At 36.8% G+C, this 12825-nt stretch overlaps 1 protein-coding gene across 6 annotated transcripts in view, besides 1 other annotated feature; it reads right to left on the bottom strand.

Moving 5' to 3' along the window:
- PRKN (parkin RBR E3 ubiquitin protein ligase) overlaps positions 1-12825 on the bottom strand; it is a 1380350-nt gene that overhangs the window by 1107706 nt on the left and 259819 nt on the right. The gene's annotated exons all lie outside the window — the stretch shown is intronic.
- Positions 12133-12634: an enhancer, noted in NCBI's record as "H3K4me1 hESC enhancer chr6:162888287-162888788 (GRCh37/hg19 assembly coordinates)". NCBI's record gives its function as "activates a minimal SCP1, AML or CMV promoter by ChIP-STARR-seq in primed H9 embryonic stem cells {active_cell/tissue: H9 hESC(primed)}" and the evidence as "EXISTENCE:reporter gene assay evidence [ECO:0000049][PMID:30033119]".

The raw sequence follows: 12825 nt of genomic DNA on the forward strand, positions 1-12825 counted from the left end.
TCAGAAGATCAGAGCTAAGATTGTTGTCTATAATACTGAAGATGACGGTATCTTATATCACCCAGGAGACAAACTGCTGGCAAAGTTCCATCTCTTACCTAACCATCCATCTGTCCATCTGCCCATTCATCCACACATCCACATAGCCAGCCATCCACCCATCCATCCACCTACTCCTCTGTAGTATAGTTATGCGTTTTGAGAAATGCATCCTTAGGCAATTTCATCATTGTGCAAACATCATGGAGTGTATTTATGCAAACCTAGATTATATAGCCTATTACACACCTAGGCTATATGATATAGTATATTGCCCCAAGGCAACGTGTACAGCATGCTACTGCACTGAATACTGTAGGCAATTATAATACAGTAGTGTTTGTGTCTCTAAGCATAGCAAAGGTACAGTAAAAATATGGTACTATAATCTTAAGGGACCACCATCATATATGTGGTCCCTCATTGACTGAAATGTTACTATGTGGTGCTTGACAGATATAAGATGGCTATGGGGGCCCATTTTTTTCTGAAAAATTAACTCCTATTGGCTGTCTGATTTGAAAAAGATTGGTTTTACATCATGTCAAAAGGCGGTCACTTTCCACAAATGGAATATGCAGCTCCAAGGTTTTGATTTAAAAAATGTTAAATAAAATAATTTTATTATAAATATTGTATTGACAAAAGTGTATTAAACTGAAGAACATTTCAATTTTTCCCAATGTTTCAAAATTTGTCAGATTGAACAAAATACCTCTAAATGATAGAATGGCAAGAAAAATTAAGTGAGTTAAAAAAAACTTTATAAAATATATTTGATACATTTCCTAGAAATTGAATAGGTGAATGTCTCTATATAATTTTGTCCAAGTAATTAGCTTCAAATTCTTTATTTTCAACAAAATTAAAGATGGATTCAATTGGGTTATAAATTGACAGATCACTGGAGTAATTATGACAAATATTACTAATAAATTTTTGTTACAATTTTGAAGACATTAAAAGAATGAAGTTGCTATAATAAAATCTCTTCTATTCCAATAAACTTATTAGTTAGAACACGGGCTTACACCCATAACAATGAAAAGGAAGAACAAAATGATGCTGAATCCATTTCATTCCAGCAATAAGTAAGATTCATCCACAGACAGGTTACCATGCATAAAAATAAGCCCATTCATCTAATTAAGGGATTTATTTCTAATATTTTTATGCTTAGTAATTATTTGTCAAAAATACCAAGAAACCATTCACCCAAATATATATTTATATTTTTAAGTGATTTGTATACTAAAAATAGCATGACACATCATGATTCACTAGAAATTAATACTAAGGCTTATGGTACAAGAGAATTTAAAAATATATCATAAACTTTAATTCTTATACATGTTTTTGTTGCAAAGATATATTTTGAGATGATGTGTAAAGATATTTAAAACAAAAAATAGTTGATTCTTGTTATTTTCTATAGGCTATAGTTGTAGTCTGTAAAGTCACCACGAACAGTAAACTGCTGAATACTAAAGCATTGTTCCTAGGGGAAAAATACAGGGTTAGGTTCCTTTGAGCCTCTGGTTACAACATTTTCATCCACCAGTCAATACATAACCTTGTTTTATGTGTGTTTCTGTTTAAAGACAGCTTGTTTATTACATTTTATTGATTCATTAACATTGCACTCATAGCCAATATCACTATAACTAATGCCTTAACTAGGTTTCTATAATGTGTATTTCTCCACAACGGACATCACCACCTACTTAAACTCAGGAACACTAGCCAGTACTTCAGTACTATGCTTGGGGCCATTTCGAACAATGAAATCACCAATAAAAAGCACCAAAATATGAAAAACATGACACTACATAGACCTCAAAGAGGGCATTTGTTTGCAGTACGAAAGTTGAAACAAGAAAGCAGAACACTCAACCTCAACTGAGAACATGCTTATTGAGCAACTCAAATCTTCACAACTCTGCCATTTCTGTGAATGACCTTAAAAGCTTCCAGTACTGATTTTGGGGCAAGGAATAATTTTACCATGTTGGTGAATTTGCAAATATGGAACCCGTGAAAAATGAAGATTAACTATATTACATTGGGATAAAGTTATGCAGGAGAGTAGAATAGAAATGAAAAAGTTTGTAAAAAAGAAACAATATCAAATTTCAGACTATTAAAAATCATCTTTTACATGTATTATTAGCAAGATGATACTGAAGGGTAAATCATCAGTTTTAATATCCCCCAAAAACATTTTTAAAATGATGCAATTGCTGTATAATTTAACCTTAATATTTATAATCTGACCATACTGCAACTACTTAAACCTATAATAAAATTTTTATATCAACTTAAAAATGTGCAAGGAAGTATATGGTTTCTCAAGGTGTTTTATAATACATATGAGCAAAATAATTTCAAGATTACTAACTTTAGAAATAGAAGCTAAAATCACAATGAGGCTGATTAATACAAACAAAGAAATAAAAACTACACAAAATCCCAAACTTAAGAGTCAGGCGTTGAAACCAAATAGCCATTCAGTGATGCAGACACAAACTCTGGGGCTCACACTGTAATGAGTGTGTTGTGTTTGTCTTATTAATAATGATGAAGTATTTTTTTATAAATACTGCTTTGCTCATTTTTATATAGACAATTTTCAAACAATTTTATATTTCTCAGTTGCTTCAATCAAAAAGAGGTTTGTGGCCGGGCGTGGTGGCTCTCATCTGTAATCCCAGCACTTTGGGAGGCCGAGGTGGGCAGATCACTTGAGGTGAGGAATTACAGCCAGTCTGGCCAACATGACAAAACCCCGTCTCTAATAAAAACACAAAAATTAGGCTGGGTGCAGTGGCTCGTGCCTGTAATCCAAGCTCTTTGAGAGGCTGAGGTGGGTGGATCACGAGGTCAGGAGTTTGAGACCAGCCTGGCCAACACGGTTAAACCCAGTCTCTACTAAAATTACAAAAATTAGCCAGGCGTGGTGGCACACACCTGTAATCCCCAGCTACTTAGGAGGCTGAGACAGGGAGAATTGCTTGAACCTGGGAGGTAGAGGTTGCAGTGAGCCAAGATCGCTCCACTGCACTCCAGCCTGGGTGATAGAGTGAGACTCTATCTCAAAAAAAAAAAAAAAAAAAAATTACCTGGGTGTGGTGGCACGTGCCTGTAATCCCAGCTACTCAGGAGTCTGAGACAGGAGAATCACTTGAACCCAGGAAGCAGAGGTTGCAGTAAGCCAAGATCGCACCACTGCACTCCAGTCTGGGTGATAAGAGCGAGACTCCATCTCAAAAAAAAAAAAAAAAAATTTTTTTTAAATTAATAGAGGTTTGTAAGAATATCTAAGAAAAATATTTCCTCAGACAGGAGCATTACTTTAAGGAAAAGATAGTACTATATAAATATATTCCACTGTTAAATATTTCCAGTACGTGTCTTTTCCTCCCAGAGATGGGACAGCTTGCTGGCTCTGTGAGTAAAATTAATTAGTCCTAGCTTTTTGTTGCCTTTTTTTTTTTTTTTCCCAGTGGCAGCTTGTAACTTTATCTCTTTTTTTTAAATATCCATAAATTTTCCATGCAACAATAGGATAAATTTATTTCACTAATTTTAGGATAAAGAAAATGAATAAAATTAAATGACTTATATTGAGTAAAATAAAAGAAGAGGAAGAAATAAATGTTTTTGTTTTGTTTTTAAGACAGGGTCTCACTCTGTCACTAAGGCTGGAGTATAGTTGCATGACATCGGCTCACTGCATGCAACCTCTGCCTCCCAGGCTCAAGGGATTCTCCTGCCCCAGCCTCCCGAGTAGCTGGGACTACAGGCATGCACCACCACACCTGGCTAATTTTTGTTTTTTTAGTACAGACGGGATTCGCCTTGTTGGCCAGGCAGGACTTCAACTCCTGACCCCAGGTGATCCACCCTCCTTGGCCTCCCAAAGTGCTGGGATTACAGGCATGAGCCACCGTGCCTGGCCAGAAATAAACGTTTTTATTGTGAGCCAACAGAAATTACTGATTCATGCATTAAAAATATTGAAGCAGATACAGTCCAAAGGCAGCATCATATTACTGTAGAGATACTACATGCAATCTGCTTGGAAGACTGTGCATAGTAAGCACTTATTAGGTAGATAATGGCACTCCCCTGAACTGAAAACAGAAGTTATAAATAATATTTAAAATCCAAAAACATGATGGTACTAATATTAGTACAAGAAATTACCACCTTATATCTTATATTAACTTAGCAAAAATTATTAATTAATATTTAATGAAATTGTCAGTTAGATGGTCAGTAAAAGGAAGTCTTTGGCCCACAGATCAAAATTCACAATACAATTTTATCCTTAATCTTTAAATACAAAATTACATTTACGAGCGTATTTTTAACTTCGCAGCAGAGATTTAAGCCAGTGGCAAATACAGAGGCTCTCAAGCCAGACTACCTCAGTTTAAATGTCTGCTTCTCAACTTTCTTGCTTTAATACCTTCAAAAGTAAAATACTGTTCACATGTATCTTACAGAGTTGTTATAAGTATGAAATGTCTGACTACATGTAAAATTCTTAGATTAATGCATAGTATACAGTAAGCACTCAGTAAATGTTAGCAGCTACTAAATAAAAAGTAGCCGCATTTTCAAAAATGATTCGGAACTTTCTAGTAATCACCAACATTACTTTCAGAAGCTCTAGTTGGAAATATTTGTTAAAATCTTCTCTTAAAATCTCAACAGATAGGGAGAAGGTGGAATCTCACACACTGCAGGTGGGAATGTAAAATGCTACCGCCACTTTGGAAAACAGTCCAGCAATCCCTCAAATGCTCAAACCTAGAGTTATCATATGATCCTGCAATTCTACTCCTAGGCTATATACTTGATAGAAATGAAAAATATGTCCAAATAAAAACTTGCACATGAATGTCCCTATCAGCATTATTATTAATAGCCAAAAGGTGGAAACCACCCAAATGCTCATCAATTAACCAATGATATATGCATGTGTTTGTTGTATCCATACATTGGAATATTACTCAGCAATGAAAAAGGATGAAGTGCTGGTTCATACCACAACCTGGGTGAACCTTGAAAACATTGTACTCAGTGAAAGAAGCCAGTCATAAGATGTTGTATGATTCCATTGATATTGAATGTCTAGAGTTGGCAAATCTATAGACACAGAGAGTGCATTAGTGATTGCCTAAGGTGGTGGTGGACAGTGTTTGGGGAGAAACAGGAGTTACTGCTAAAGGGAAGTGGGTTTCTTTTGGGAGTGATGAAAATCAAAATTGACTGTGGTGATGGTTACAAAACTCTGTGAATATACTAACAAACAATGAATTTTAGAATTTAAATGGGTGAATTTTATAGTATGTGAATTATATCTTAGTAAAACTGTATCTCCTCCGCTGTCCCTCCCTAAAATAAAACCAACCAAATCTCTGTATACCCATCACTTATTAAAGTACTTGGCAAAACACTGTGACTTAGTACTTTTGGGATAAGCGGATGAATGAATGTGCATTCACTTCACTTTAAATGTTTTTTCCCCTATTTTCATCTATTAGAGAAAACTGTAATCATGAGAAGAAACTTACAAAATTTGTAAACATCATCTTTCACATTTAGAGTTTGTTTTTATAATGTGACAAAGTTTTTCTGTTAAATATCTCACAGTTGCTGTACCTAGAAGTGCTTTAAGAACCTGAAATAGTACTAATGGTATGAAAAAGGTAGACTTATATTTCAACCTTTAATATAGAAAATATAATTTGCTCAAATTACTCACACTGTTCTAATTTCCATATGCTCTAAAGTAAGTATGAATAAGATTTAGACCTAATTGCTGGTGACATTAAAATTCATTCAATTCTTACTGTCAACAAATATTTACTGAATAAGTAACTATTTGCTAGGCACAGTGCTAGAAAGTGATATTACAAAAATGAATAACACAGCCTGGTGACAGAGATATTACAACAGAATTATGTACAAGAATATGATACATGCTATATTAGGGCTTGTGCCATGCGTACCACACCAAATGTTTTAAGAATGAAGAGAAAAAAAAGGAGGCTGGGTGTGGTGGCTCACGCCTGTAATCCCAGAACTTTAGGAGGCCGAGGCGGGAGGATCACTTGAGGTCAGGAGTTGGAGACCAGTCTGGCCAACATGGCAAAACCCCATCTCTACTAAAAATACAATAATTAGCTGGACGTGGTGGCACACACCTGTAATACCAGCTACTCAGGAGGCTGAGGCAAGAGAATCACTTGAACCTGGGAGGTGGAGGCTGCAGTGAGCTGAGATTGTGCCACTGCACTCCAGCCTGGAGGACAGAGTTAAAGTGTCTCAAAAAAAAAAAAAAAAAAAAAAAAAAAAAGAAAGAAAAAGAAAAGAAAAGAAAACAAAAAAAGAAGAGACCAGCACTTTGGGAGGCCGAGGTGGGTGGATCACTTGAGGTCAAGAGTTCAAGACCAGCCTGGCCAACATGGTGAAATCTCATCTCTATTAAAAATACAAAAATTAGCCAGGTGTGGTGGTGCGTTCCTGTAACCCCAGCTACTCGGGGCGGGGGGCTGAGGCAGGAGAATCGCTTGAACTTGGGAGGTGGAGGTTGCAGTGAGCCAAGATCACGCCACTGCACTGCAGCCTGGGCGACAGGCTGAGACTTCGTCTAAAAAAAAAAAAAGAGACAATGAAGAAGAGTGGCTAAAAGCTGGAGTAGTTCAAAATATTTCAGAGATAAGGGAAAATATAGGAATGATAGAGAAAAATAAGTAGGGGATTTCCAGGTAGAGATTTGTTTTTTATTGCTACAGGTTAAAGACACAGTTTAGGAATTACTCTTTTAGACAACAACAGTGTATTTTCATTAGCCATGAGGTTGTCAGTATTATAGGATGGAGGTATTTACAGTAGTGAGCAGAGAGCAGGCAGAGTCTTATATAACTGTGAGAACTCTGGAGCTGTCCCATGAAACTTTTAACGAGCTAAATTTTCTATTTTACAAAAGGACAACGTAAATAATTCATCTTTCAATATTAAGACAACATGTTAACTAATCAAAAATATCCTGGCTATCACAAAATTCAAAAGGAAAATGTCAAAATATCTACATGTTTATATTTTGAATTGAAAGATATTCTAAAAGTTGTTTCATGATTATGAACTGCACAATGGAGACCAATGTTTGGTTCACAAATGTGTGCTGTTAATTAGATTGAGAGTGATTGTATATGGTTTCTCACAAAGGCATCTTGAGTTCAACCATGTAAATTGATGGAATTATCAAAACATCAGACCTATTTCATTTCAACCTGGCTTTTATAACCAAGGTGTGTGTGTATGTGTATGGTGTGTATACATGTGTGGATGTGTGTGGATGTGTGCGTACATGTATAGTCTCCCCCAATATAAATGTGAGGCTACATTTTCAGGTTAAGAGGGCTAATGTGTATCTTGCCTTCTCATCACAAATTGTTCTACAAGTCCATCCATAATGATAATTATATCCTTCAATAGACGGCTGCTTACTTCCCAAATTTTAAACTGAACAAAAATATTACGGATCCACCAGATAATTTTAAATCTATCTACTTGAACTGCAAAATTAGGAGTTGAATGAAAACCTTACTTAGTGCAGTATGTTTAAAACTCATCTTTGGCTAGGTGCAGTGGCTCACGTCTGTAATCCTAATAGTTTTGGAGGCCGAGGTGGGTGCATCACCTGAGGTCAGGAGTTCGAGACCAGCCTGGGCAACATGGCAACATCCCATCTCTACTAAAAATACAAAACTTAGCTGGGTGTGGTAGTGGGCGACTGAAAGCCCAGCTACTTGGGAGGCTGAGGCGGGAGGTTGCAGTGAGCTGAGATCGCACCATTGCACTCCCACCTGGGTGACGGAGTGAGACTCCGTCTCAAAAAAAACAATTAAAAATTAAAAACGAAAAAAAAACCACGTCATCTTTGAGCATGTTAGTACTTGCTTTGATACAAAGGGTCTGCTTGAGTTTGTATTAAATCATTTAACTCTCCTTGTAGTTTCCTCTGTTATTAAATGATGAGAATGTTCCTAACCTATTGCAAATGATTACTTACCATGGAAATACAACCACAATTATACTCAAGATTATTCCAAGCACAAAGTTTTGCATGGAATCACTGTAACATTAACACTGTCTAATAAGAAACAAAACCCAAATCTTTCTGTTAGGAGATTATTCTCCATGGGTCTCCGGCCTTCTGCAATCTTACCTCACTACCTCTATGCTGGACTAGCTTTCCAAGGGGGTTTGTATAGGAAGCATCCTTATAAGACAAAGGTAGTGTCTTCCTCTGGATCAAAGGGCAGAAGTGCTTCCTGTCTGTCATAAAAGATTCGGGTTCCCTGAGCTCCGGGTTCCTCTCCTTTTAACACATCCTGCTGTGTGTGCAGGTGTCACTTCACATTGCCCTGTGGAAACTGGGGCCTGGAGATGTTGACAATGTGACTACTGCTATGGGGCAAGTAATAAACTATCCAGCTCCCTGACCCAGGAATCTCATGTCTTGGGGCCAATGTTTGGTTCACAAGTGTGTGCTGTTAATTAGATTGGGCACCAGCTGAGTGACTGTATATGATTTCTCACAAAGGCATCTCGAGTTCAAGATTGGCATCCATGAAACTGTGAGCAGCCTGCAAGAGGGATAAAGTCTCAGATACTTCACAGTTCCTGACACTGTCTATCATTTCCTTGACTTAGGCATTACATTCTTACTCTCTGAAGCTGTTATTTTGTTGTTGTTTTTGGGGACTTAATAAGCACATTTTAAAGATAAAAATAAAGCTTAAACTGAAATCAAAATACCAGTCTTTATTTTATTTTAATCAAAGACTGCCCTGACCTTTTTTTGAGATGAGATCATGAGGTGACGTTTAAGCTTTGTAAATGCTTATACATAACAAGTACTTTCAACAAAAAATTCTAACAATTCTTGATGCCTTATATGCCAGCTTAGAAGAAATCAATCATTGTTTACTTTTTCACTTAAATTTGCAGATGCTGATTAAAAGGCGATTACTATTTTTTTTACACTTAGGTCTTTCTTTAATCAAAATTGACTATATCTCTATAAATGGGAATCAGGGATCTGCTATTACACAAAAATAGATGTCAACATATGAAAATTAAATAAATGAACTTTGCCACTGCCCTGTAATTAAGTGATAAAGATTTCATTCACTTTTCTAAGGTTTTAATCATTTATGATAACTTTTATTTTCTTAAGGAAAAATTGAACTTTGATTTTAAAAATTCTAAAGTTTTCCTAAAATATAGCACTAATATGTAATGGAGCAAACTTTCAAAGTCACATTCTATTTCATTAGAAATTTGTCTACAAATGGCCGGGCGCAGTGGCTCATGCCTGTAATCCTAGCACTTTGGGAGGCCGAGGCGTGTGGATCACGAGGTCAGGAGATCAAGACCATCCTGGCTAACACAGTGATAACCCATCTCTACTAAAAATACAAAAAAAAAAAAAAAAAAAATTAGCCAGGCGTGGTGGCGGGCGCCTGTAGTCCCAGCTATTCAGGAGGCTGAGGCAGGAGAATGGCGTGAACCCAGAAGGCGGAGCTTGCAGTGAGCCGAGATCGCGCCACTGCACTCCAGCCTGGGCAACAGAGTGAGATTCCGTCTCAAAAAAAAAAGAAGAAGAAAAAAAGAAAAAGAAAGAAATTTGTGTATAAATACAAGTTTTAAGAGCCCCCCCTCCTCCTTCTTAATAAATATTAATGCATTTGCTCCTCCACTAAAAACACTTTAAGAAAATCAACAGCCATGGCGATCTCATGGCTGTGATGTGCTCAGGGCAAGCATCTATGTAACATATCCCTATTCTGCAACACCTCACCCAGCAGACAGAATGTTTACCTAAAACTCCCTGAGCTTATGAAAACTTCAACAATCATGTCAACATTTAAGCTCGTTCCCAATTAACCAGTCTTACCAAGCATCACTTCTATGAACATTTTAAAGAAAAACCAGTGAAGTGGTGAAATCAACTCTGTCCAAGCTTGCATGCAACTCTAGGAAGGCGGTTAGCTTATCTCTCAACTAGTTCTTATATTACACCACTATATTTAACATCTGACTTTTGTTGCTGTTTATAATATTACCCTTTATTTTCCTTCAATTTTAGAACCTCAGTTTGTGGCCACCTACAGAATAAACTTTCAGCTTTACCAAATTTTCTCTTCTTATGAGAGATGCACAACACTTAATAGAGAGAACACTATTTTTCAAGCTGCAATATACTGTGGTGTTTTCATGTTAGACATAAATAGTGTCAGTGAAAATGTTGATCAAAGAAATGAAATTCTAATAGGATGTCAGAAGAAGCAGATTAAACAAATGATCTAGCTGTTCCAAAGACATCAAAATGCAAAATAATTCTTTTCTGGAGGTATTACTTAGCCAAATGTAATTTCTTTAGCAATTTCAAGAAAGAATAGGAAGTGTTAATGTTAGTTTAATTATAGAAATAATGTCAAGTGACAATGGCAGGGAAGAAACTGAATGCTGATTTGATCTACACACAGTGACATGGACATTTAGAAAATATATTATATGATAATTATATAATCCTGGCTAAATTCTTTGATAGGTTTCAGTTGCCCCTGTAAATGTTCTAAAATTAAATTCAGGAGGGTATATTGTGATATTTAAGAATTTAACAAAGTTATCTCAAGAACATCTCACACTCTCATGCTATCTGCAATCCTTGAATATATGGTGACTAATATATCTTAATGTATTTTTGTATATCAATATTTTATCATGTTATTTCTTAAGACGACAACTCCAAATAACAAAGTGTTGAAAGAAAATATCAGAACCACCAATATTTTTCTTTCCTTGACATACTTGCAGATATATATTTTTATGTTTATAACAGAAGTTAATAAAGAAACATGCCCAGCTTATTATTTCTGGATTGATTGCAGAAACAGCTACTACCTTTTTTGATGATGTGGAAGTTTATGCATGTATTGAGGAGGCAATAGCTGTGATAAATTACTTCAAGAAAATAACACTTTCCATTGCCTTTCTTTTTTTCCTTACAACCTGTGTTATGGAGTGAAATGTACTTGGCCTTGTCTTCAGGAGGCAGAAGCAATCATTTGCAGAATAGGCTTTGTGTGCTAACATTTAATATTAATCTATTCCCAGGCATTATATTATTAACTTTGAATAGATGCTGACAAGTCTTGTTTTTGGAGGGAGGTGGGGCAGGGTATCGCTCTGTCACCCAGGCTGAAGTGCAGTGTTGCCATCATGGCTCACTGCAGCCTTGACCTCCCAGGCTCAAGTAATCCTCCCACCTCACCCTCAAGAGTAAGCAGGACAATAGGCATGTGCCACTACACAGGGCAATTTTTTTTATTCTTGTTTTTTTTTTAGAGACAGGAGTCTCACTATGTTGCCCAGGCTGGTCTCATATGCCTGTGCTCAAAGGATCCTCCTGCATCGGTCTCCCAAAGTGCTGGAATTACAGGCATGAGCCACCACATCCATTTCACTTTTGCTTTTTTTTTAATGTGCCATTGTTGCATCTGTTTCTACTGAAGAATAAAACAGATACCACTATGCTCTTTGTTTTCCTTTTTTTTTTCTTTTAATCACTACCCATTTATTAAAGGCTAGGTGGATTTGGGTAATTCATCACTGCTAAGTAAGGTAACTAAGAGCACGTTTATGGATATATTATATACACTGGTTACCTCGTTTCAATAAATAAGCAGCTGGTAAGTCATCTCCCAGTTTTATCCCCAACTTCTAAAAGAAAAATAGGTCGAAAAAATTAACAAATCTGGTTAGGAAAAATACACTGAGCCCAACTATTATGATTCCCTGGATTCTATTATTACGTTTATTTATTAGTATTATGAGTCTTTGCTAAAATGTTGACTTCTTATGGAAGGCCTCTCAACAGTGCTGTTTAAAAATCACACGTAATCAATCCTTTCACTCGGCACACCCTAACCTTTTTCCCTTCTTCCTTTTTCTCCACAGCTTTCATCAATATCAAACACAATTCATCATGAAAATCAAGATTTATTCGTTTTGTTCACTACTCTATCCCCAATGTCTGGCACATACTAGCTGCTCAATAAATAAGAATGAATGTGTAGTATACCACATGGATGAAGTATGGGAGGTATTCATTCAAGCACTTATCATGCGCTCTCCTAAATTACTTAACATCAGTGACTGCCCCCACTCCACCCGCTCCTCATCCAGCCTCCACTGAATGAGGAAACAGCACCATGAATGAATAGCTCATGATAAAAATTTAGCGATCGTCATCAGTGTATCCCTTTATCCCTATCATTGAGCCTTTGGTTCTATCTCCAAAATATTTATTAGATTTCTCTACCTCTCTCCATCTGCATTGTCGTGACCATTATCTGTCTTTTGAATCAGAGCAATACTCTCAGAACAGGACTCCCAAAGGCAGTCAGAGGAATCCCTTGACACAAGAAAAAACTCACGTCACTTCCTACTTTAAAGGCCTCAATGGCCTTCTATTGTTCACAGGATAAAATCTACACTCCTTACTGCAGCCTACAGGGCTGCACGGCCTGGCTCCCACTTGTCCTCCAGCCTCAACCCCCTGTCACGCTCCCGCTACGCCGCCCACCGAGCTCCCGCTATGCTGTGTCTGGAAGAAGCCAACCCCTTGCTGGATTTTACACCTTGGTACTTGTTGTTCCCTTTGCCTGGAGCACTCTTGCCTCCTATCTTTCCATGACTCAT

This window comes from Homo sapiens, chromosome 6, assembly GCF_000001405.40.
Source record: "Homo sapiens chromosome 6, GRCh38.p14 Primary Assembly".
Lineage (NCBI taxonomy): Eukaryota > Metazoa > Chordata > Mammalia > Primates > Hominidae > Homo > Homo sapiens.